General features: G+C 44.5%; 1 protein-coding gene and 1 long non-coding RNA gene across 9 annotated transcripts in view, besides 4 other annotated features; one reads left to right on the forward strand and one right to left on the reverse strand.

Annotated features, from left to right (window-relative positions):
* Window positions 1-23,944, forward strand: part of TTC39C (tetratricopeptide repeat domain 39C) — a 142,714-nt gene that overhangs the window by 872 nt on the left and 117,898 nt on the right. For 4 of the 8 annotated variants that reach the window (NM_001135993.2, XM_011525814.4, XM_006722392.4 and 1 more), the window contains exon 1: window positions 20,996-21,280. The exons of 1 other annotated variant lie outside the window; for it this stretch is intronic. In NM_001135993.2, the coding sequence (NP_001129465.1) occupies window positions 21,114-21,280 (167 nt within the window). In that variant the 5' untranslated portion in view covers window positions 20,996-21,113. Of the gene's footprint in view, window positions 1-20,995; window positions 21,281-21,794; window positions 21,997-22,828; window positions 22,983-23,944 lie in introns of those variants that run through there. 3 more of the 8 variants (XM_047437297.1, XM_047437298.1, XM_047437296.1) reach the window with 2 other exon arrangements.
* TTC39C-AS1 (TTC39C antisense RNA 1) lies at window positions 455-21,702 on the reverse strand. Its single transcript, NR_110796.1, has 6 exons — window positions 21,546-21,702; window positions 19,159-19,283; window positions 12,609-12,728; window positions 7,807-7,901; window positions 6,631-6,804; window positions 455-721 (listed from the first exon to the last, which is right to left on the reverse strand). It is a non-coding gene; the product is annotated as a TTC39C antisense RNA 1 (long non-coding RNA).
* Window positions 747-806: a silencer, noted in NCBI's record as "silent region_9361". NCBI's record gives its function as "represses an Ori minimal core promoter by ATAC-STARR-seq in GM12878 lymphoblastoid cells {active_cell/tissue: GM12878}" and the evidence as "EXISTENCE:reporter gene assay evidence [ECO:0000049][PMID:35858748]".
* Window positions 16,242-16,371: an enhancer, noted in NCBI's record as "active region_13167". NCBI's record gives its function as "activates an Ori minimal core promoter by ATAC-STARR-seq in GM12878 lymphoblastoid cells {active_cell/tissue: GM12878}" and the evidence as "EXISTENCE:reporter gene assay evidence [ECO:0000049][PMID:35858748]".
* Window positions 20,233-21,152: a silencer, noted in NCBI's record as "silent region_9362". NCBI's record gives its function as "represses an Ori minimal core promoter by ATAC-STARR-seq in GM12878 lymphoblastoid cells {active_cell/tissue: GM12878}" and the evidence as "EXISTENCE:reporter gene assay evidence [ECO:0000049][PMID:35858748]".
* Window positions 21,233-21,412: a silencer, noted in NCBI's record as "silent region_9363". NCBI's record gives its function as "represses an Ori minimal core promoter by ATAC-STARR-seq in GM12878 lymphoblastoid cells {active_cell/tissue: GM12878}" and the evidence as "EXISTENCE:reporter gene assay evidence [ECO:0000049][PMID:35858748]".

A 23,944-nucleotide genomic window follows, 5' to 3' on the forward strand; every position in this document is an offset into this window, starting at 1 on the left:
AACTGAAAATCTATGAAAAAAATTATATACTAATTTAATTGTCTTGGGAAATATAATAGAAATGGACCATAGTTTGACATTAGATGTTTTGGTATTAGGTTTGTGCAAAAATAATTGCTTTTAATGGCAAAACTGCAATTACTTTTGCACCACCCTAATGGTTCATATGACATCACCAACAATCATCCAGAAAGCTTCATATTAATCTTAAATGAATTGTTGCCATTAACAAAGCTTTCTTCTCTGAGATTCAGCTGGAGAAGTTCATTTTGGAAAACATTTAAAACTGTTATGCACATGAATCTCTGAAAAGATATGAAGCTCTGGCAAAAAAATAAATGAAGGCTAAAAACAGAGGGAAACAATTTCCCAGTGCAAAAGATTTTCTATTATTTTCATTATTATTCCTTAGATGTTTTGGCTGAAGATACAAAAAGAAAAACAAATAGATATGTTTTCCTCAAAAACCATCACTTTATTTTTGTGCCACGGTTTTTGTTTAAAATAAGATGACAGAGAAGAAAATTATAGAGATAAAATCAATTGTAGTAACCAAAAAAAAAAAAAAAAATCAGTTTTAGTAACCAAAGGAAATCAGTCTGTATTTCCAAAACCTTTGTGTGAGAGCCCATCAGTGTGGTTGGCAGATGTTTTACAAACACTTAGGGAATCTGTCATGAACTTTAAAGACCAAGAGAGCTTTTTCTGTTTGCCAGGAAATCTAGGAAAACAAAGGAAAATTAAACCCATTAGCCTAGTTTAACATCATGTGCTTCCCCCACTCGCCCCTCCCCTCATAGCCAGGGCTTACACAAACACACTGAATGGTACTTACGTTCCTTAGGTATTACCAGTTGGCCCCGTTTCAAGGCTTTAAAAAAGCCTCATCACTATGCACCCAACGTTAACACTCAAAGCCCCGCAGGGCTGTATCTTGGACGGCTGTTGCTACTGAGTGTGATTCTCAGCAGATGAAATGCTAGCAGCAGCAGCAGCAGCATCTATGAACTGCCTTATAATAAACTGCAACTTGGCTGCACTTAGTCATCACCAGGGCCACGCGCTGATGCGTGAACTCCACCCTCAGAGACTCTGATTTCATTGGTCTGGGAGTGGCCTGGACATCAGGATCTTTTCCTTTTTTTTAAAAAAAAATAATAATAATTATAATCCACAAGATTTTCCTAATGGTTACATCTCACACCATGAAATTGACTTTGGTAAAATGTGTGTATAGTTCTCTGTCACTTTATCACGTGTGTAGGTTTGTCTAATCAGCATTGCAATTATGATACAGAACTATTCCTTCATCACAAAGATATGCCTTTATGGTATCACTTACCTGCCTTCTCTCTACTATCCCTAACTCCTGACAAACACTAATCCCGATAATTTTGTCATTTCAAGACTGTTAAATAAATGGAATCGGCCAGGCGTGGTAGCTCATGTATGTAATTCTAGCACTTTGGGAGGCCGAGACGGGTGGATCACTTGAGGTCAGGAGTTTGAGACCAGCCTGGCTAGCATGTCGAAACCCCATCTCCACTAAAAATACCCCAAAATTAGCCAGGTGTGGTGGCGCGCGTCTGTAGTCCCAGCTACTCAGGGGGCTGAGGCACGAAAATCACGCGAATCCAGGAGGTGGAGGTTGCAGTGAGCCAAGACTGCACCACTGCACTTCAGCTTGGGCGACAGAGTGAGACTCTGTCTCTAAATGAATAAATAAATGGAATCATACAGTGTGTACCCTTTTGAGATTGGCTTTTTCACTCAGCATAATGCACCTGAGATCCATCTAGGTCGTATGAGTCAATAGTTCATTCCTTTTTATTGCTGGTATAGATGTACTACACCTTGGGGCTATTACAAATAAAGCTGCCATGAACATTTGTATAAAAGTTTTTGTGTGACCTGCCTGGGCAACCATAGCAAAACCCCATCTCTGCCGGAAAAAAAAAAAAGTTAGCCGGGCATGGTGGGATACACCTGTAGTCCCAGCTACTCAGGAGGCTGAGGTGGGAGGATCGCTTGAGCCCAGGAGGTCAAGGCTGCAGTGAGCCACAGTCACACCACTGCACTCAAGTCTGGGTGACAGAGCAAGACTCTGTCTCAAAAATTTATGAAAAGTTTTTGTGTGGGAACATAAGTTTTTATTTCTCTGGCATGAATGCCAGAAGTGCCGTTGTTGGATCGTATGTTAAGTATATGCTTAGTTTTCAAAGAAACTGCCAAACGTTTTTCCAGAGTGGCTGTACCATTTTACATCTCCACCAGCAAGGAGAGATCCAATTTCTCCACATTCTTGCCAACATTTGATATTGTCACTATGTTTTATTTTAGCCATTCTGTAGGTGTGTAGTGGAACTTCATTGGGGTTTAGTTTACATTTCCATCAAAATGAGTGATGTTGAACATCTTTTCATGTGTTTATTTGCCATCTGTATATCCTCTTCAGTAAAATGTCTCTTTATATCTTTTGCCCATTTTCTAATTGGATTTGGGCATGGGCCAGAGAGATGGAAGAGGGGCAGTGCATCGAAAACTTCCCTAAGTGTATCTACTATGCAGCCAAGTTTGGGAAGCACTGCGTCATTATAACTTCTTTATATAGGTACACTCTAAATGTAAGCCATTGCACTTGTGCTAATATTAAAATAAGGTCAGTGTGGGCACTGGCTAATTAAACATGCCTGCAGTCCAAGGGAAAAACACTGGAGATGCTTTCCATGACCTCAGGTTGTTTGCATATACTCATCATAAGGCTGGAGGAATGAGCCCTGCAGGGAATATTTCTGGAAATGTGGCCCAAATATCTTCTGCTTTAAAATCATGGCATGTGTATGTGCATGTGTGCACCTGTGCACATGTGTGAAAAATGGTGATTCCCCAGTCCCAAGCCCCATACCTACTAAATCAGGACTTTTGAGGATGAGGCCTAGAAATCTATATACATAGCCCAGCAGATTTCCACACACTCAAAAATTTGAGACCTATCTTGCTCAAGGAAGACTGGGGACCCAATCTCCACTTCAGGGCATAGGTGGATGCCTTCCTATTAAGAAATCAGTTGGCCGGGCACAGTGGCTCACGCCTGTAATCCCAGCACTTTGGGAGGCCAAGGTGGGTGGATCACAAGGTCAGAAGATCGAAACTATCCTGGCTAACATAGTGAAACCCCGTCTCTACTAAAAATACAAAAAACTAGCTGGATATGGTGGCACACACCTGTAGTCCCAGCTACTTGGGAGGCTGACACAGGAGAATCACTTGAATCCAGGAGGCAGAGGTTACAGTGAGCCGAGATCGCACCACTGCACTCCAGCCTGGATGACAGAGTGAGACTCCATCTCAAAAAGAAAAAAAAGAAATTGGTTTAGGCAGGGCACAGTGGCTCCTATCTGTAATCTCAGTGCTTTGGGAGGTCAAGGCAGGAAGATTGCCTGAGGCCAGGAGTTTGAGACCAGCCCAGGCAACACAGCAAGACCCTGTCTCTAAAAAGAAAAATAAAAAGGCCAGGTGCAGTGGCTCATGCCCGTAATCCCAGCACTTTGGGAGGCCAAGGCAGGTGGGTCACCTGAGGTCAGGAGTTCGAGACCAGCCTGGCCAACATGGCAAAATCCTGTCCCTACTAAAAATACGAAAATTAGCCGGGCGTGGTCGTGGGCGCCTGTAATCCCAGCTACTCAGGAGGCTGAGACAGGGAGAACTGCTTGAAGCCAGGAGGCGGAGATTGCAGTGAGCTGAGATTGCCCAACTGTACTCCAGCCTGGGCAATAGAGCAAGTCTCTGTCTCAAAAAAAAAAAAAAAAAAAAAAAAGAGAAAGAAAGAAAGAAAGAGGGAAGGAGGGAGGGAGGAAAGAAAAGAAAAGAAAGAGAGGGAGGGAGGAAGGAAGGAGAAAGAAAGAAAGAAAGAAAGAAAGAAAGAAAGAAAGAAAGAAAGAAAGAAAGAAAGAAAGAAAGAAAGAAACCAAAACAGGCATAGTGGCATGTGCCTGTAATTTCAGCTACTCAGGAGACTGAGGCAGGAAGATTGCTTGAGCCTAGGAGTTTAAGGTGTATGAGCTGTGATTGCGCCACTGCATTCCCACCTGGGTGACAGAGTGAGACCCCGTCTGAAAAAAGAAAAAAAAAAAAAGAAAAAGAAATTGGTTTAGAGAAGAGTTGCCTTGAGCCAATTTGGGGCATAGAAATGTGTGTTCTACTTCTGAAATGTGAGGAACAGAGAGGGGCAGGATAGTGTGTTTTTGTATACTGCCAAGCTGTTCTTGAGAAGCAATAATTTGTAGTGATCAATAAAGATAACTAACATGTATGAGCACTAATTAGTGCTAGGCTTTCCCCACACACTAGCTCCTCTTGTTCTTATAACAAGTTAGAGGTTATTATATTCTCTACTTTGTAGATGAGGGAGCTGAGGTTCAGAGAGTCCTGGTCATTTGCCCAATATCATAGGACTAGCAGATGTCAGGCTGTTTTTCCTTCTGGAGTCTCCCTTATTGTTGTCCTTAGTTGTCCCAAACTCTGGTTTTTATTATTAAATATTTTTAGAAGACCTACTGGAACCTAATTTTAAACAGAAACTAGGCCAGGTGCAGTGGCTCACGCCTGTAATCACAGTGCTTTCAGAGGCCGAGGCATTTGGATCACTTGAGGCCATCCTGGCCAACATGGTGAGACCCCCATCTCTCTAAAAATATGAAAATTAGCCGAGTGTGATGGTGCACGCCTGTAATCCCAGCTACTTGGGAGGTTGAGATAGGAGAATTGCTTGAACCCAGGAGGTGGAGGTTGCAGTGAGCTGAGATTGCACCACTGCACTCCAGCCCGGGTGACAGAGCAAGACTCTGTCTCAAAAATATATAATAATAATAATACAAATTAGAAAAATTATTTTTTAAAAAGAAACTATAAGAATTTATAAAGGTATTTACACATCCCTGAATAGCCTAACTGATCATCAATTTGTGGGCTGAAATAAATGCTGCACAGAAGTGGTATATCTAATTATTTCTCTGGTGTAGTACTGCAGTCTGAACTGTAAGCATGAAGCTGGTGGAGCTCTCTGGAGCACTCAAGTGGTAAACTACTAAACAGTGGTAAAAATTCCTTTTATCCTGCTGCTCGGGAACCTGTCATTATGGGGAGAGTAAGCCACACCCTTTAAATATACACATGTGGCCCTGGTATCCATTTACACAGCTGCCAGGTGAAAGCCCTTTTGTTTTCCAGCTTCTGTCCTGAATCATCTTGGATGACTGCCTCAGGTCTCTGTGTGGCTCTGACATAATTGATATTTTCGTAACATACCCAGCTTCATTGTTCACAGTTCTGGTCTGTGCCAGTTTATGTGTTTGAGCCTCAGGTAAGTTGAGCGCTGTGGACATATGGGTGTGATGAAATGGTTTCCTCTCTTCCCTTTCCACCTTCGAAACCTAAGCCTTCCTGCAAGGCTCCTAGCCTTCCGGGTTTCCATAGAAATCAGAGCCTGAGGCCAAGTTTAAGGTATAAGGCTCTATCCCAGAGCTGGAAGGGTGAGGGGAAGGGAGTCAATGTGGGGTGATATGAACCAAACTGGCCAGGGTGCCACAGAAACCACACCTGTCACAGCCACGCAGGACTCTCTGGATGGGCCATATGGAGCCACCACACTTCGAAATCGTCACAGGGGAGGAAGAGAGAGGAGCTTATCTCCTGACTCTCTGGTCAAAGCGGGTCCTCTGTGGATTCAACTCTCCCCCATTTTGGGCTATTTACCTTTTAAACAGTGGCAAAGCAGCCATCTTCTAGGTCCCTAGCCAGGGGGCAAGAAGCTTCATCTGAGTCTGCAAGTGCTGGGAACAGCCGGTGCCCTGTGCTAGGGCCCGGGCTGCAAATGCCTACGGCTCCCATAAGGTGGGCATTGTAGCAGCCATGCCTAAGCCCAGCTCTCAGCCCTCACCCTGTGGGGAAGCAGCATCTGCAGATAGTGGCAGAGAGAAGGTGAGACTGGGAAGCTGGAGCTCCCCACTGAGCAAGCAGCCAGGGCCCAGCAGGCAGATGGGGCTGAGCAAATGTGGGGAGGCCCAAAACTTAGGTCCAAGTAGTTCCCTTCCTGATTCTAATGTTGTATCGGAGTATCAGTCAGGGTTCTTACTTGCAAGCCACAAAAACTTACTTTAGCTTCCTTAAACCAAAAAAGAATTTATTGGGTGTACATGGGAGAGCTTTCAGAAACTGAAGAGTGGGCTTATAGTGCAAGCAATGAGAGCTGCCAACTAGGCAGCAGAAACCGGGGCCCAAACACCACTACCATGGGGGCAGGACACTTTCCCTACTACAGCCTAACATCACCACCTCCCAGTGAGACCTCACACCATCAGCATGCCTCCAAAGAGCACAGGGGCTCTGATGTTTGTCAACTGCTCCCCCCAACCCCCAAATTCTTATGTCGAAGTCCTAACCCCTAGCACTTTGGAGTGTGCCCTTATAGGGAGATAGGGTCTTACAGAGGTAATCAAATTAAAACAAGGTCATTAGCATGGGCCCTAATCCAATATAACTGCAGTCCTTATAAGAAGGAGAAATTGGACATAGAGAAATGTATAGAGGGAAGGCAAGGTAAAGAGACATAAAGAGAAGATGGCTACCTACCAGCCAAGGAGAGAGGCCTGGAACAGATCCTTCACTTGCAGCTCTCAGGGAAACCCACCCTGCCCACAGCTTGATTTTGGACTTTAGTCCTCCAGAACTGTGAGAGAATAATTTCTGGTGTTTAAGCCACTCAGTTCACGGTACTTTTTAATAGCAGCCCCAGCAAATACAATCCTGGAAGCCAAGGGGGAAAAGAGAAAGAGAATCCTTACCAATTTGTTGAACTTTTGCAGATTGCTAAGCACTGTGATGCACATTACCTTGCCTGGCAGGGCTGTCTTCACCGCCATGAGACCTGTGCAGTCACACAGTCACACAGCGCTCTGTTCTCAGAAGCACCCAGCACTTGGTTCAATGCCCTGCTGTTGTCATCTTAAAATTCTTCATGATTTTTTAAACCAGGGACCCCACATTTTCATTTTGCACAGGGCCCCCCAAATTGTGTGGGTCCTGTCACCTGGTTATCCCAGTAATCTCGTGAAGTAAACAGAGACTGTCGTTACTTGTGTTTATTAATAACGAAACCAAAGCTGAGAGATGTTAAGCAACTTGATCAAGGTCAACAGACCTCCCCAGAGTTGGATCAGAGATCTGAGATCTCTGATCCAATGGCTTCTGTGTCCACCCAATTTTGAGATTCTGTCATTCTAGAACCTATGTAAAATGTAAGAAAATTTGGAGCTAAACCTTTACACAGCTGCCTTGCCTTCACTCGATTATCCTGTCTGAAGTTTAACACATGAAAGCCAGCTTGGGGTCTTCTGGATAGTCAAGAGGTTCCTCTACCAGCCTCATCTTGGTCACTGGTCTGCTCTAGTCTACTTCTATCTGTGTTCCTGTTAGACTTAATATCTGGAAAAGCAGGGTTCTTACCTGCCCAGGCCCCAGGTCAACCTGGCTTGGGTTCAGATAGAAACTGCTGACCTCAGGTCACTGGATTCATGTCCTAAGCCAAGGTCCGTGAAAAATATTAGGAATTAATCAATTAACCTCTTCCTTGATTCTAGATATTCGCTCTCTCATTTTTCCTGGGATAAACCAACCCTTCTGGTTGGTCTGGTATAAAGTTTCACTGTCTCTCCCATCTCCTTTCTCTCCTCTGTCTTCCCCCTTGAGTCTTTGCTTTACTGATGTTCTTCCATTAGGCCAACTGTCCCTTTCCCTTGACTTTCTTACCTTTTCCCCAGCCACTGTTCCACCGCGGTTTTCTAATAGCCTCTCAGTTCTTCACAGCTCTGCCTCCATCACCACCACATCCTCCCATCGGTGTCCTAAGTAAACATTTCACAAAGTGTTGCTGCATTACTCTTGGGTTCTACTCAACTAGGTCATTTTCCAAGTTCATGAAAATTGGAATAGGTAAGAGGAAGTTTGGGGTTTTAAATTTATTAACCACAGAATGCAACATGGGAGGGTGAGGTGTACGGTAATTCTGTTTTTTTTTTTTTTTTTTTTGAGACGGAGTCTCGCTCTGTGGCCCAGGCGGGAGTGCAGTGGCGCAATCTCGGCTCACTGCAAGCTCCGCCTCCCGGGTTCACGCCATTCTCCTGCCTCAGCCTCCCGAGTAGCTGGGACTACAGGCGCCCGCCACCACGCCCGGCTAATTTTTTTTGTATTTTTAGTAGAGACGGGGGGTAATTCTGTTTTGTCGTTGCTTACTTATCCCCTGAGGCAGACATAAGTTGTTTGCGCACATGTCTTTTTTTGGACAACTTCTCACCCATTGTGTGTGGTCTTGTGGGGCTGTCAGCCTCCTTGGTGCCTTCCCATAGGACCCAGGGTGGCCAATCAGAGTATCCTATCCTCCAGTGATTGGCTCTAGGATTCCCAGGTGACACAAGCAGCACCATCAGAATCATCCTTGCCAATGGGGATCTAGAAAACTGGAGGGAGATGGTCTCTCTTCCTCTACAAATGGGCAAGCATGGAGACCAATGCCAAGAGGAAAGAGCAACTAAAAGAAGTGGGGTGGGATCCAGATTTAAAGACTCTAACTTGATGAGATCTCTAGTGATGGTTACTTGCTCACAGAGTCAATGGAGACCAAATTGACCAGCAGCCATTTAATGTTTTAAGGGCAGGTGGTGTTGGAAAAAACTGAAGTTTGGCAAAGAGGAGTCTTGAATGCCCAGAGTGATCGTGCAAGATGGGAGCTAGTACTGTGCTCAGGATCTTTTCCTTTTTTAATGTGTGGGGATTTCTGTGTTGTTCTAATGCTTGGGGGGTGCTTTTGGCATTGTGAGACAGGAATGCTAGACTCTTGCAATGTGCAGGACAGTTCTACAAAATGAAGAACTTGCTCTCCCTCTGCAGGAGAGAAAAAAACCAAACTGTAGAAAAAAGCAGAATCGTGGTGTCACTGAGTGAACGTATGTATCCAGCCCTGCAGATGCCTGAGATCCACCCTCAGGCTGTACCTTTTCCACTGAAGCCTGTTTGCACTGGGTTTGGTCACTTGCAACAGAAAGAGAACTAACAATTTCACACACAGTGGGACTTACAAGTGCTCTGGTCTTCTGCAATTGCCTTCCATAAGTCTCTAGTCTATACACTCAATTAAAATTCATATTAATTTAAATCCATATTAAATCTTCCATCTGCCCACAAATCTGACCATGTCATTCCCCTGTCCTAAGTTCTCGTTGGCTCCTCTTTGCCTAGAGGCTCCAGGTAAGGCACAGAGAGCCCTTGTGCCTGAGGGCTGACCACCTCTCCTGCCTCGTCTCTGGCCACTTCCTGCCTCACTCTCTATACTCTAGAACAACTGCACTGTTTGAGGATTTCTGCAGTCTCACCTGTCCATGCCATTGCTCCTCTGCCTGGAATCCACTTCCTACCTCTTTTGTCCAGAGTCAGCTCAGTCATCAAACCCCTCACAGGAAGCCTTCCATGAACCCCCAGCTGGACTAATGCCCCTATTCTGTGCTCCCAAAGCACACAGCGTATAACTCTATCTTATGACCATCTTACATTAAAAGATCTGTCAGTGTGTCTGTCTCACCCACTAGACTAGAAGATTCTCAGGTTCAGGGGTTGTATTTTATTCAATTATGTCTTCCACAGCAGCTAGCATACAGTGGCTGGCACATAGTAGGTCCTCAAAAAAGATCCTGTTGAACTGAACTGGTCCTTGTCGTAGGTCAAATATGATGGTGTTTCTGATGAATCATAAGTCATATTGGATGACGTCTGGGATAACCTGCAGTTTACAGAATCTATCATTCTTTGAGTGAACCACTGGTGTGCCTATGACTATTTTTATGGCCCTTGTATGAAAAAAAAAAGCTCTCTAAAGACAAATACTTTTTTAAATGGCTTGAGTTACTTAGTTGAACAGAGGAAAACAAAATGAAAAATGAATGCTTTTCTTTTCTTAAGAGACAAGGTCTCACTCTGTCACCCAGATTGGAGTACAGTGATACAATCATACCTCACTGCAGCCTCAAACTTTTGGGCTTGAGTGATCCTCTTGCCTTAGCTTCCCAAGTAGCTAGAACAACAGGGGCCTACCACCACACCTGGCTAGGCTTTTAAAATTTTTCTAAAGATGAGGATCTCACTATGTTGCCCAGGCTAGTCTCCAACTCCTGGCCTCAAGCAATCCTCCCTGCCTTGGACTCTCGGAGCACTGGGATTACAGGGGTGAGCCACCACACCACACCCAGCATTTTTTATTTACACAAGGCCATTTTAGTTCCCCAAGCAAGCACAGTGCAGAGGCAAACACCACTCCAGAGGCAGAAGTGAGGAACAAGGCTACTAGAGGTGGTTACCTTTCTGGAGCAGTAAGGGAAGTAAGATTGCTCCTGAGCCCAGCCAGCTGTTGTTCTTTGGCCTGGATTTGGGAAGGAAGAAATGAGTCCCTGTGGCATCTAAGCATCCAGTTCCCTATCTGTGGGTATAGACAGCAGCATTCTCATTTTCTCTTTATCATCTCACAGTATATCCTTGTTTTTACTGTTTTTGTCTCAGAGGAGGTGGTAGGGTGAAGAGAGTGAGGAGAAGTGAAAAAATGTGTATTTTTAGCCATGACACAGCCAAATGTTCTGAGTCTTCTTTTATAACCACATTTAAAAATAAATGTCAAGAGTTAGGAATTAAGTGATTTCTTAGTGTCCACATCCTCCTTCCATCCTTAGTGTGGGCGTGTCTCCTTCTGACCTGGTTACCCTTGTGTGGTGTTTCTTTCAACTCCAGATGTATACATTGCTGCTACATGGAATTTTTTAAAGTCATCACATGAAATGCTCTTGTTTTTAAGGTTAAAATATGCACCTTTATTCTGAGTTTAATATAATAATACAACTGTTCCTAGGCAAGGATGTGAGCATGATTTACCATGAAAATCATGCATTCCACTGTGCTTTCACTCATTTTTCGTGCAATATTTCTCAAACATATACTAAGGGTAACAAATCAGGCAATGTACACAAAGATGAATAGCCACACTGCTTTCTGGGAGTTACCATCTGGACAACTCTTTCTCATAAGGGGCTCTGAAATGTGCTGACATTAGACTCACCTGAGGTTATTGCTAAAATGCAGATGCCTGGGCTGCACCCTAATTTTGCTGAATTAGATCATATATGAGATAATGTATTTTCATGCCTTCAAAATGCCTTCTAACTAAGGAATGGTACGACTTTCAGGAAGAACTAATGCCATGAAATTCATAAGCGTGTGTGTGAATGCCCTCAGTCAGGTTTCCAGAAGGTACTAGATTTTAAGTTAACAACTAAGACTGAACCACTGTGGGCAATGAGATCTATGTTTAAACCTCACTGTAACCATTACCTGCTTCATGGCCTTGGGAAAGTTATTAAACTTGTCTTTCTCCTCACATCTTTAAACTTGGGATAAAGCCCACCTTACAGAGTTACTTTGAGAATTAAATGGAACAACATTTGTAAAGTCTTAACCCAGCACCCAGCACGTAGTGATGCTAGCCAGCAGTCATTCTAGATTTTTGGACACTCTTCAAAGATAAGATTTTTTTTCATAATAAAATATTTTTTTTGCCCCAGGTATATAAAAGCACAGGATTCAAGCCATTAACTCCCTTCTCCCACTGCTCTGCACCCTGTGGTTTAAAATGATTAAAATTCTTTTTCAATTAACAGCTTTATTGACATATAATTTATATACACAAAAGTCACCATTTAAAGTATACAATCTGGCCAGGCAAGGAGGCTTATGCCGGTAATCCCAATACTTTGGGAGGCTGAAGTGGGAGCATCTCTTGAGGCCAGGAGTTTAAGACCAGCCTGGGCAACAAAGCGAGACCCTGTCTCTAAAAAAAAAAAAAAATTAAAAATAAAAATTAGCTGCAGTGATGTGTAGCCTGCAGTCAGGAGGCTAAGGTTGGAGGACGGCTTGAATCTAAGAGTTTGAAGCTGCAATAAGCTATGATTGCACCACTGTACTCCAGCATGGCCGACTGAGTGAGACCCTGTCTCAAAAAAAAAAAAACAAAAAACCCAATAACTAAATACAAGTCAGTGGTTTTCAGTGTATTTACAGAGTTATGCAACCAATCACCACTATCTAATTTAGAACATTTTCAAGATTAGTTTTTAGAATGTATGTGTGTGCCTTCCTTAGGGTAAGTGAGCTTATCCTACAGAATATTTTTTTTTTTTTTTGAGACAGGGTCTTGCTCTGTCACCCAGGCTGGAGTACAGTGGCACGATCATGGCTCACTGCAGCCTCAACCTCCTAGGCTCAAGCCATCCTCCCACCTTAGTCTCCCAAGGAGCTGGGACTACAGGTGTATACCATCACGTCCAGCTAATTTTTGTATTTTTTATAGAGTTGGGGTTTTGCTATGTTGCTCAGGCTGGTCTCAAACTCCTGAGCTCAAGTGATCCACCCACCGTGGCCTCCCAAAGTGTAGGCATTAGCCACCATGCTCAGCCCAAATTTTTAAAAACAAATAAACAATATTATACACTGTAGCAGTTATTTTCTCCTTTACATACCTTAGGAGACTACAGATGCTTTCTTTAAGGTATTATTTTCATCTTTCTAATTTACCTCCTGCAATTGTCTTCAAAAATTTGTTCACATCGTTTTAAGTATCTTCGGTTGGGGTAGATCATCTTTTGAAGATGGACGTGAAAGTAATCAAAAACAGTGATTATCTGTCTTCATTGACCAGCAGAGGAATACAAACTGGTTAATGCTATCGGGGCGGGGGCGGGTGGGGGGGAGACGGCGATCAAAAAACCAAGGATTAACTGTAAATTAGTGAGACAGGCGATCTACTGTGGCCCATATCTGAACTCTAAAGGTGTAAAGAATGAACAAATTAATAAAAACATCAGTAATTATCAATGCATAAGATATAAGTTTGTTATAATCATCTAGGGAGATAGTGTTAAATCAGTCCAGGAATAAATGGATTCTGACAAACTTGGCACCAAGGTCTACTATGACACTTACCATATTGTGCTATGAATGTGTATCTGGCTACGTGTCTCATCAGGATGAGCTTCTCTAGGGCAGGGGCCTTGTCATATTTGCCTAAATATTGCCAGCACTTACCCCTGTTGCTGACACAGTCGGAGCACCCAGTGAGTATACTACGAAAAACCAGAGTATCAGGCTCATGAGCTCTAGGCTGTGCATAAAGGAGATACCTGTTATGAATTACTTGCAGATAGAAAACTTTTTCTTCAACAGGTTCCTTAAGTTACTTTAGGGGAATTCCGTGGCACAGAGTTCTGGGTTGAGACACACGGATTGCTAAGTAACCCCAGAGCAAAACATAAGTGACTTACCAACAAGGAATTATTTTATATTAGCAATGCATATGTCCTTGTAAACAAGAGCTGACTGCAAAACATGTTGGACACACAGAACATAGAGGTGCATTTTAAAACTCTTCATACCAAATATTATCTATTTCTTTGTCCAAAATAATACTTAGGGATTATTAAAGCAGAAATAATTCAGGTCCAAATGAAGAACTCTAAAATGTAGATATTTTTACTATCTTTATTTATTTATTTTTGGAGATGGAATCTCACTCTGTTGCCCAGGCTGGAGTGCAGTGGCATGATCTCGGCTCGCTGCAACTTCTGCCTCCTGGGTTCAAGCGATTCTCCTGCCTCAGCCTCCTGATAAACTGGGATTACAGATGGGTGCCACCAGGCCTGGCTAGTTTTTGTATTTTTAGTAGAGACAGGGTTTCACCATGTTTGCCAGGCTGGTCTGGAACTTCTGACCTCAGGTGATCCACCCACCTCGGCCTCCCAAAGTGCTGGGATTACAGGCATGAGCCACCTCACCCAGACTATTTTATATTTTTATACATTCTGAAGAAAATCTGTACTTCTTCCTCATGCTGCATTAACAATAGTGAACATGTATTGTTTATATTCGAAACAGTTTAAATTAATCATCTCTATATGATGCAACTAGTTATTTAATTGCACAGACTTTATTTTAGCTGGGAATTTCAAGATACTGTTGACAAGTAAATATGTGAACAGAAGGACACACTGACTTTAATATCTGAAAATAAATTGTATAGGTTCTAATAATATCTTGGTATTACAGATTAACAAAGCATGTTCACGTGCCCACTATCTCATTTACTTGCCTTGAAGGTACTGATTATCTTCATATTATAAATGGGGAAATTGAGGCTGAAAGAGATGAAGTAAAATTGCCCCAAATCACAAAGTCAGTGCATTGCAGGACCAGAGTCATAACCCACGATTTAGACTCCTGGCCTAATCTCCTTTCCCCTCTGAGTCCAACTCATCCCCTCTGTAGCTCACCCTCACCATTCAACTTACAAACAGGTCATGAACACCTACTGCATGCTCTCGAATGTCCGAGGGAATCTGACTACACTTTAAGATTTGGAAACAAATCCACTCTGAGAAGCAAATGCCAATACTGCTGCTGCTTCCACCCAAAATAGATTCATATACTTTGTTAGATGAACCAAAAGGTATCTCCTTCTTCCTCCTGCAGTCAGGGGAGAAGCCTACTGATTGGAGAGAAGAGCTCGGACATGCCATTTGCCTTCTGTTTATGCAGGAAAAGATTAATACTACCTTAGCATAAGCCCAGGATTTTTAGTAGGAAACAAGGTAAAGTTACGTGAATAGAAGGAAAGTACCTTTCTTGTTTAGATAACAATGGGGAATCCAGATAGAAATTAGTCATAGTGCCACTGTTGGTTGGAGTGTAAATTAGTCCAACCATTGTGGAACGCAGTGTGGCCATTCCTCAAAGAGCTAAAAACAGAATTCCTATTCGACCCAGCATTCCCATTATTGGGTATATAACCAGGGAAATACAAATCGTTCTGTCATAAAGACGCATGTACACATGTCTTCGTAAAGACACATAATTCAACTGCAGCACTATTCACAGTAACAAAGACATGCAATCAAACTAAATGCCCATCAACTGTAGATGACATAAAGAAAATGTGGCACATATATACCGTGGAATACCACACAACCATAAAAAAGAATAAGATCATGTCCTTTGCAGGGACATGGATGGAGCTGGAGGACATCATCCTTAGCAAACTCACACAGGAGCAGAAAACCAAACACCACATGTTCTCACTTATAAGTGAGAGCTAAATGATGAGAACATATGGACACAAAGAGGGGAACCACAGACGCCAGGGTCTGCTTGAGGGTAGAGGCTGGGAAAAAGGAGAGGATCATAAAAAATAACTATTGGTCACTGGGCTTAGAACCTGGGTGATGAAATAATCTGTACAACAAACCCCTGTGACATGAGTTTACCTCTATAACAAACCTGGACATGTACCTCCAAACCTAAAATACCAGTTTAAAAAATTCTAGTGGAAAGATTTTTTTTGCTGTTAAACAATCCAGAGAAAACCCACCAGGGCACTGAATAGAACCTGCTACCATTTAACACTTCCCTTATCCATGGGACTGGAACTCATCTACTTTCCTCTCCAGGGACTCAGTAGACACATGTCTTGAAACCAGAGACGGCCTCTCCCTCTGCAGAACAAGTCAGTAGACAGACAAGAGAAGTAATGGACATTCACCCAAGGCTGCAAAATGTGCAAGTCATGAGGAGGGACCAAAGGAGAGGAAAACTTGATTATCTCTAAGGAAGAGGGAGGGATGGTAGATCCAGGGAACAGGGACTATCAATGAAAAGGAAGGAGATGGGTTAAAGGGAAGGGAGGCATAATGGGGAGAGAGAATGAAACTATCTGAAGACCAACAGAAGACCTGCAGTCACACTCAAAGACACACCCCAGTCAAGGGCTAGTGCAGGAGAGATCACTGCTTAAGCTTCCCAGGGGAGGAAAGCGGTGGAGGAGAGACAATGCCTTCTTCCCCAGTTTTGTCCCTGACTCTCTACAGCAGCAGAACAATGATCTCTAGTAAACACCTGCCTAAACCATTACTGCACTCCAGTGGCTATGTGGTTTATGAAAAGGCAGGTGAGGAGGCGTCCAACCCAAAGGGGGATGGTTTCCTGGCCCATGGTAACTGCTGTGGTTTCCCAGGGCAGCCATGAGTGTCCTCTCAGAGACACACATCCAACTGCAAAAACAGCCAGGTGAACCTCACTGGTCCACAACTATGTTCCCTTCCTTAGAGGCAAGTTAGTGATCCACCTATGAGCAGAAAAGGAAGGAACTTGCTGTATGGTTTGTTAAAAGAAAGACTTTAGATAAATTAACAGAGTTTAATTGAACAAAGAACAATTGGAGAATTGGGCAACTCCACCATCAGAATAGATTCAGAGCAACTGGCGCTGTCATGCGTCAGAGAGGATTTATGGACAGAAGAAAGTAAGTGACATAAAGAAAACAGAAGTGAGATACAGAAACAGTCAGGTTGTTTACAGCTCGGGGTCTGCCTTATTTGGCTACGGTTTGAACAGTTGGCTGCTGTGATTGGCTGAAACTCCGCTACTTGTTACAAGAGTTTGTTACAGTCTGTTTATGCATCCAGTTAGGCTACAGTTCACTATGTACGGAGAAATCTTTAGGCTAAAATACGTAAGAAGGCAGCTTTAGGCTAAACAATTTAATAGGTTTTACATAGCAACCCTTGACCTGATTTGCCTTCTAGTTAAAGGTAGTTAATTAAATCTTACTTCACCTTCAGTAGAAGAGCTGAATGGGTAAAGCTAGCACAACATAAAAATAGTGATATTAATTTCCCTACTCTCCTCCTTCTTAGAATTCCAAACATTTTGGGAACCTGTATTTATTTTGATGGATAATATGGATTTACAAAAAGATGCACAAAGGCATGACTGTTAGCATCACTGAAAAATGTAATACAACCAAAGTACACACAGTAAGGTTTTCTTGTGGTACTTTATTCTTCGAATGCATTTAAAGTATAATTCCAGGCCAGGCATGGGTGGCTCATGCCTGTAATCCCAGCACTCTAAGAGGCCGAGGTGGGCGGATCACCTGAGCTCAGGAGTTTGAGACCAGCTTGGACAACACAGCGAAACCCTATCTCTACAAAACATACGAAAATTAGCTGGGTGTGGTGACATGTGCCTGTAGTTCCAGCTACTCAGGAGGCTGAGGTAGGGGGATCACTTGAGCCTGGGAGGTGAAGGCTGCATTGAGCCATGATCTCGCCCCTGCATTCCAGCCTGGGTAAAGAGTGAGACCCTGTCTCAAGAAAAAAACCGAATGTAATTCCAAAAATTCAAAACATGTTCAGGAAGACAAGGGTAGGGTATGTTTGTTGATTGTCGCTCTCACATCCATTCCCTACCTCTCTTTTCCTAACAGATCTGGGATTTCCCAGCCAGGTAGTTTGGGTGAAATAGGTTCTACCCATCCAGGTCCTGGAGCAGACCCTGACTGGCATAATCCAATTAGCATGATCTGCCCCTCCTACTCACATTAATTGGTGCAAAGATGGGCACCTGACTACAATCTTGCCAATTAAAGCCAGTGAGATTTAATTAGGGGATTTCAGTTAAGCTGTTAGAGAAGCAATGCCTTCCCGCTGGATGTAGCCAGCAAGCATGTAGCTCTGGGAGCTTCCAAAAACCTTTTGGGACCAGGAGAGGCGGCCCTGTCTGAGAATAGAGCCAATAAACACCAAAGTGGCAAAGCTAAGAGGTCAAGAGGAGAAACTGGGTCCTGGTTAGTGTTGAAGCCAGGGATACAGCCTCATTTTGTAAAACTTCTCTACACCAATCAATATGTTTGCTTTGCTGAGCCAGTTTGGGTCAGGTTTTTCTGTCATTTGCAACCACAACACCTTATTTTTTAAAATCTACCTTCTTTTACTGATCATTTGAAATTAAAGTTTCATTTTCACAGTGAAATCAAATGAAGAACCACAAAATACTGGCAACACCCACTGCAGAAAGGAAGTGGGTTATTTCCACCACTCGCTGGCTTTTCTTTTTCTCTTTTTTTCTCCCTTTTTTCCACTCTCTCTGTCTCTCAACTTCCAAAGGAAACACTCGGATAAATCCTATTTGGCTGAAGTCAAGTGCACTGAAGACTGCATTAGTTTTGCAGGAAGGTGCTGAGAATCTCACAGTGTCAAGTATATGGTGTCCTGGAGTGTTAGGAATCTAGATTTTCCTTCCTTTTGTAGGTAATTTGCACCATGACTTCTTAGATATCACTATCTGCCTTTATAACCTGACATTTTTATCGAGTGGAGAAAACACAGCCTTAACTCTCCCTTGCAATGTGAATCCGGGGCAGGTGTCAATGCCAACTACAGCTGCCACAAGTATTACTAGTCCACGTGTTCTCTTCCTTCAGGATTTGGAGGCTCTTTTTGTATCCCTCACCACGGGCAAATATTTTAAAATGTCCCTTCATGATGATGATGCTAATGTAACTGTTTTGGTACCTGGTTAAATCCAATTTTGCACATATCTGGTGTGTATTACATGGTAGAGTTATCCCTCTATCCACGCCACCCCTCCCCTGCCTATTGTGGGGTGCTGGGCGGTTGCAGTGGTCCTTGCCTTAATTGTTCAACAATTAAATTTCCCTGTCTGCACAACGGACTGTGTGAGGTTCTTGAGACAGAACTAGCCCCACAAAGAGTGCTCTGACTTTGCTCACCCCTCCCCACATCCTCAGCTGCAGGGCCTCAAGTATAACTCATAAACATAGTGTCATCAATTCCTTGAAATTCTTGTTTTTTCTTCCCAGTAATAGGGACATACAGGACTGTGCTTGGCTGTCTTTCTCAGTTGGGGGACTGCAGGCTATCTCCTATGTCTGATATTTTGCTCTTGGCTTCTCTCCCTTATTGACTAGACTGCTTCAGGGATCTGGGCAAATGGTTCCACAGATCCAAAGTTCCAGCAGCCTGTAAGTGCATGTTGTCAGGGTGACCTCGGGCAGTGTGTGGCCAGGGGAGCCCTCCATGCCAATGGCCTCATGTGGGCCTCAATGAGCAGTACAGTCCCTAAGACCTGCGTTTGAGGGCCCTGCCCATCAAAACACACACACACACACACACACACACACACACACACGCATAAATTTATTTAAAAACATACAAGCACCTCTGTAACTTGGGATCTGGCATTCAGTGCTGCCTCAGTGGGGTGCATAACCCTCAACATCCATTCTCATGATTGATGCCATGCAGGCTCCAGGGAACGCTTCTTCTCATCTTTAGCTCAGTGCCCTAAAAACAAAAGGTTACAGCCTCTCAGTGCCATGAAGGATGGTGACACTGCTGATGTTTGAGACTAACATTATGTTAAATCCAAGAAAACCTAGATTTTCTTTTAAAGGTCAGCTTGTCAAATCCTTCTTCTCAGACAGCATGAATGCAGTGACTCCTGCATTACAACGTACTGTTTCCCAAGGATGTGAATCGTCCATTTTCTTGCTTCTGTCAGTGTTCCAGTTTGTGGTTCCAGATGTACTCAAGAATTAGCATGGCTTTGCAACAGTTACACATGACACTTAAGGAGTGGCAGTAATTCTTATTACTCTAAAATTTCTATTTATAAAAGTTGAAAATCCTGTATGGATTTAGATATTCTTATAAGGGATGGTACAATTTACAAAATAAGTAAAAGCAACTTACATGACAAAATTATTTTGCATTTTTCTGTAATAACTTATTATATTGGTCCCATGATAATGGATGACATAATGTTTAAAATTCAGGAGTTATTTCTAAACCTGAGGATTGCTTTCATTTAAAAAAAATTCTGTTATAAATGTTTCAGCAAAGTTTCTTCAAGTTGAAATTAATAAACTACACTCTAAAAACGACAGCGACTCAAGGAAGGTTGTCCAATTTGGCATTAGAGCATAATCTTGATTGCAACACTACATTAAGGGATTTTGCTAAATTAGAGAAAAATAAATTTGTGGAAAAAACATAAAGATGATTTATGAATTGCTTGTCTCTAGAATATTAGGCATCCAGATATCACCAGCCCATCATCAGAACAGTGAGACTTCTGTGATAATGGTTAAATTCAGTCACTTTTGATGTTTTGCTGACATTTGGTCATATGAACGCCAAAGCTTTGCAAGAATAATTGGCAGTGTGAGAATAGAACACACTTTGGCAGCTGAATTTATAACTTTTAAATATTTGGGCACATGGCATATAGGCCTCCATTTCTCCTCCTGCCCCACTGCGCAAATGTTGGTGGCGGGCTGGAGTGGGTGGTACCGGGATCCGAGGGGCTCTGCCTTGCAGTCCCGCAGCGCGGGGCTCCGGGGAGCTGCGGGGCAGGTGCCAGAGACCCCGCCCCCGCCGCCCACCTCCTCGGGAATTGGCTGCCCTGGTCCTAGGGGGCGGCCCCAGGGTCGGGATGAAGTCTGGGGTCGCGGGCGCGGGCTGCGTGGGGTTTCAGTTACTCGTGGAGTTTCAGTTACTCGTGGACAAAGCGCCGCGCGCTAGCATAGCGGCCCGGGCGGAGTTCCCCTTCCCTTTCCCTTTCCTTCCACATCCGCACGCTCGTTCTCCCTCCGCGCCTTGCCCTCCTCCCGACTCCTGGGTCCGGCCCCTTCGGGGGAGGGTGGGGCGCTCGGGTCTCCGGGTCTCGCGTGCGTGTGTCCGAGCAGTCCTGGGCGGTGGGCGAAGGCGCGGCTTGGGGACCCGGGAGGGGCCGGGGCGCGGGGGCTGCAGGAAGTGGAGGCGGCCGCCGCTCGGGGACCGGCTTGGCGGGGTGAGAGACACCCGGAAACGGATTCCGCTTCGGGGCCCGCGCGAGTTGGGTGCTTCGGAGGGCGCGAGAGGAGCGGGCGGGTGCTGCTGAGTAATCCCCGCGGCGGCGGCCGGACGCCCACCTCCCACGCCGCGCCGCAGCCGGGCCGCGGCTCCTCCCTCCGCGGTCCTTCCCTCCTCTTCCCTCCCGTCTTCTCCCCTCCCCTCCCCTCCCCTCCCGGCTCCGCTTGGCTCCGGGCAGGTAGAGCCGGGCTCCGGGCGCGCGCGGGGCCGCAGCAGCTGCTCCCGATCTCGCCTCGGCCCAGCGCAGGGCCTCGCACGCCCATGGCCGGCTCGGAGCAGCAGCGGCCGCGGCGGCGGGACGACGGAGACTCGGACGCGGCAGCGGCGGCGGCGGCGCCCCTGCAGGACGCGGAGCTGGCCCTGGCCGGCATCAACATGCTGCTCAACAACGGCTTCAGGGAGTCGGACCAGCTTTTCAAACAATACAGGTGACCCACGCGTCCCCGATTCCCCAACCCTGCAGCGCGCACCTCGTGTCCGGCTCACGCGCCTCGACCTGCGGCCCCCGGGAGCCCCCTCCCCCTCCTGTCGGTCACCGATTCCGGTCCTCAGGTCTCCTCCCTGGCAAGATCAGCCAGAGGGAATGCGCCTCTGCCACATCTCCTCGTCCACCCCCTACCCCCGGCTCCGTTGTCCTTTCCCTCCCGGGACCCGCCGCGCGCCCGCCCCGCGCGCCCGCAGTCCCCCTCTCACTTTCTCCCAGCCTCGCCCTCCCACAGACGTGCCCGGTGCCGGTAGGCTCCTCTCTGCAGGGCAGCTGGCTTTGGGACCGGATGAGATTTGAGGCAGCAGCGAGCCTGGGACCCGGGCTTGTCGTGACTCTGGCTCGCGTGCTGCCCCGGCAGCCTTTGTGACACGGAGCCCTCCGGCTGCCTGCTCCTCGCGCCTCGCATGGCTCTGCAACATTGTGCAATTCCAGACGCTTTTATTGTTTGAAAACAGATACGCACAATTGCTTTGCCGTGCAGGAATTTAAAAATTTCAGCTCAACTCTGCCCACTCATCTCTCTGCCTTGTCTTCTGCAAACTCAGTCCTCAAAATGAGTTCCTGATGTCTTTCAAGCAGGCGTTATTTATTAAGAATTTTTCCAACGTAAATAAAGGAAGGAAGAAAATGGAGGGATTTTTAAAAAGTATGAGAATGGTAGGAAAACACGTGTGTTCAGTTAATTTTTTATTTGTCTTTTAAAAAATAAAGCGAAAGAACTGAAACCTGGTAGTTTTCCTGTGGGAGTGGAAGGAACCTTCATTTCTTTGGGGACCTGGAGTGTTTGTTCTCGGGTTGAGGAAGCAAGTTTGTGATTTGCCGTCTGATTGTTGACGAGCCTTAAGGACGTTGATTAGCAGCTTTCCCCAACACGTTTAAGGACCACATGCTTCACGCTATGGAGACCCTGTAGTTTGGTTGGAATGAGAGGACCAATGTACAACTGTGACCGGGAGACAGAGTCTGTAAGAATGAGAATGCCTAAAGTCTCAGACCTCAGAGAATGGTGGTTTCTACCCAGCAGAGCTTCCACCTTCTTAATGGCGAAGCAAGTATCTCACAACTGTGAACTTTTCACTAAAGCCCTTTTACTTTTAAATCGGTGATTTTTTCCCCCCTTTGGTCTGAAAGTAAAAACAACTTCGCTTTACTTAGAACATTTCATTTTTAAAGCATACAGGTCTGGTTTCAAGATGGAGTTTCATCAAAGGCTGTTGATGGGGGATTTAAAAGGTTTACTTGTCACACAATTTCTCTTTTGTAGTTTTTAAGAAGCCCTCAGGAAAAAAGGTGTGAATATTTCCTGTACCGTGCTATGATTCCTTTTTTAGACTACCAGTTTGTGTCGTATGAGAGAAGGATGGAGATAGTTGTAGAGTCAAATTTACCCTTTTTAGTTGATGATTTAGGTACTTGCATGTTTAAGTACTTCTTGCTTTGAAGTCTCCTGTGATATTTATTTTAATGGTCTTTTTTAACCCTTCTTTAGTAGGCGAAAATACTACCTTTACATTGAAAGCATGAAATTTTTGCACTATCTAAGAAATTTTATGCACTGTTAATAGAAGGCAGTATATGAGTGGTTGGAAAACTCTCTCCCAGCAACAGCAGAGAGATGCCCCTTCAAAGATACTTCTCTGTGGGTGAGTGCGTTGGAGGTGTCCAGGGAATATTTACCTTGTATAGCTAGGTGCTGTCTGCTTGTATTTTGAAATGGGAACTGAAGATAAGGCAGGGAAAACTGTAGTACCTCTTTTCTGCCAAGCACAGTGCTAGACACATTCCCTTATATATTCTCACTATTCTCATGACAACAAAAGAGTGAGGTGTATCTTATCATGACAGTTTTGTAACGAGGGACATGAGACTTAGTTTTTACTGTGGACCAGGACACAAACACTATAGTTCTAAATCAAGGACTCTTTTCATTTTACCATTCTGCTTCCCTCACTAAATTTATGATAATTTGTCATCTGCTCTGAGACCTTATTTTCCAGCAATGTTAAAAAGCCTTTTTTAGAGATGGTGGGAGGGAAAAAGACAGGTAGACAGAGATGGTATCATCCTATCAGCTTTCCTTGGCTCCATCTGATTTGTTTGTGGTGTGGACAATCATTGCGTTCTTCCCCCCTCCCAAAAGGTGCTTCTGATGTATGTTTTGGAAAGCACGGTTGCATACAGGTGTGATCATGGACCAGAGTCCTGCAACCTGGGTTCCAGTCTTTTGCCATTTTGTGGCTGCTGACTTTGGTTTCTCAAAATTTGCTTCCTTATCTATAAAATAGGAGTAACAGTAAGAGTACCCACATTATCGTGTGGTGGTTAGAATGAAAAGAAATAATCCATGGCCCCGACTAAGTGTAAGCACTCAATAAACTCTAGCTAGCTTCTGTACGTGGTGCCTTCCCCGCTAGTATTGTGTTTTCTTCTTGACTGCATAGTTCGAGTACAAGACACAATGTCCTGTGTGCAGGTAGCTTTTCTATTTAAAGTTCATCTTACGTATTACGTATGAAGGATTTAAGACTCTGTTATGCATTGGGAAACTTCCCTTTCTGTTCCAAAGTTAAATGGCCTGCTGAAGGCTCAGCAGTGACTTGATAAA

This window comes from Homo sapiens, chromosome 18 (assembly GCF_000001405.40).
Source record: "Homo sapiens chromosome 18, GRCh38.p14 Primary Assembly".
Classification (NCBI taxonomy): domain Eukaryota; kingdom Metazoa; phylum Chordata; class Mammalia; order Primates; family Hominidae; genus Homo; species Homo sapiens.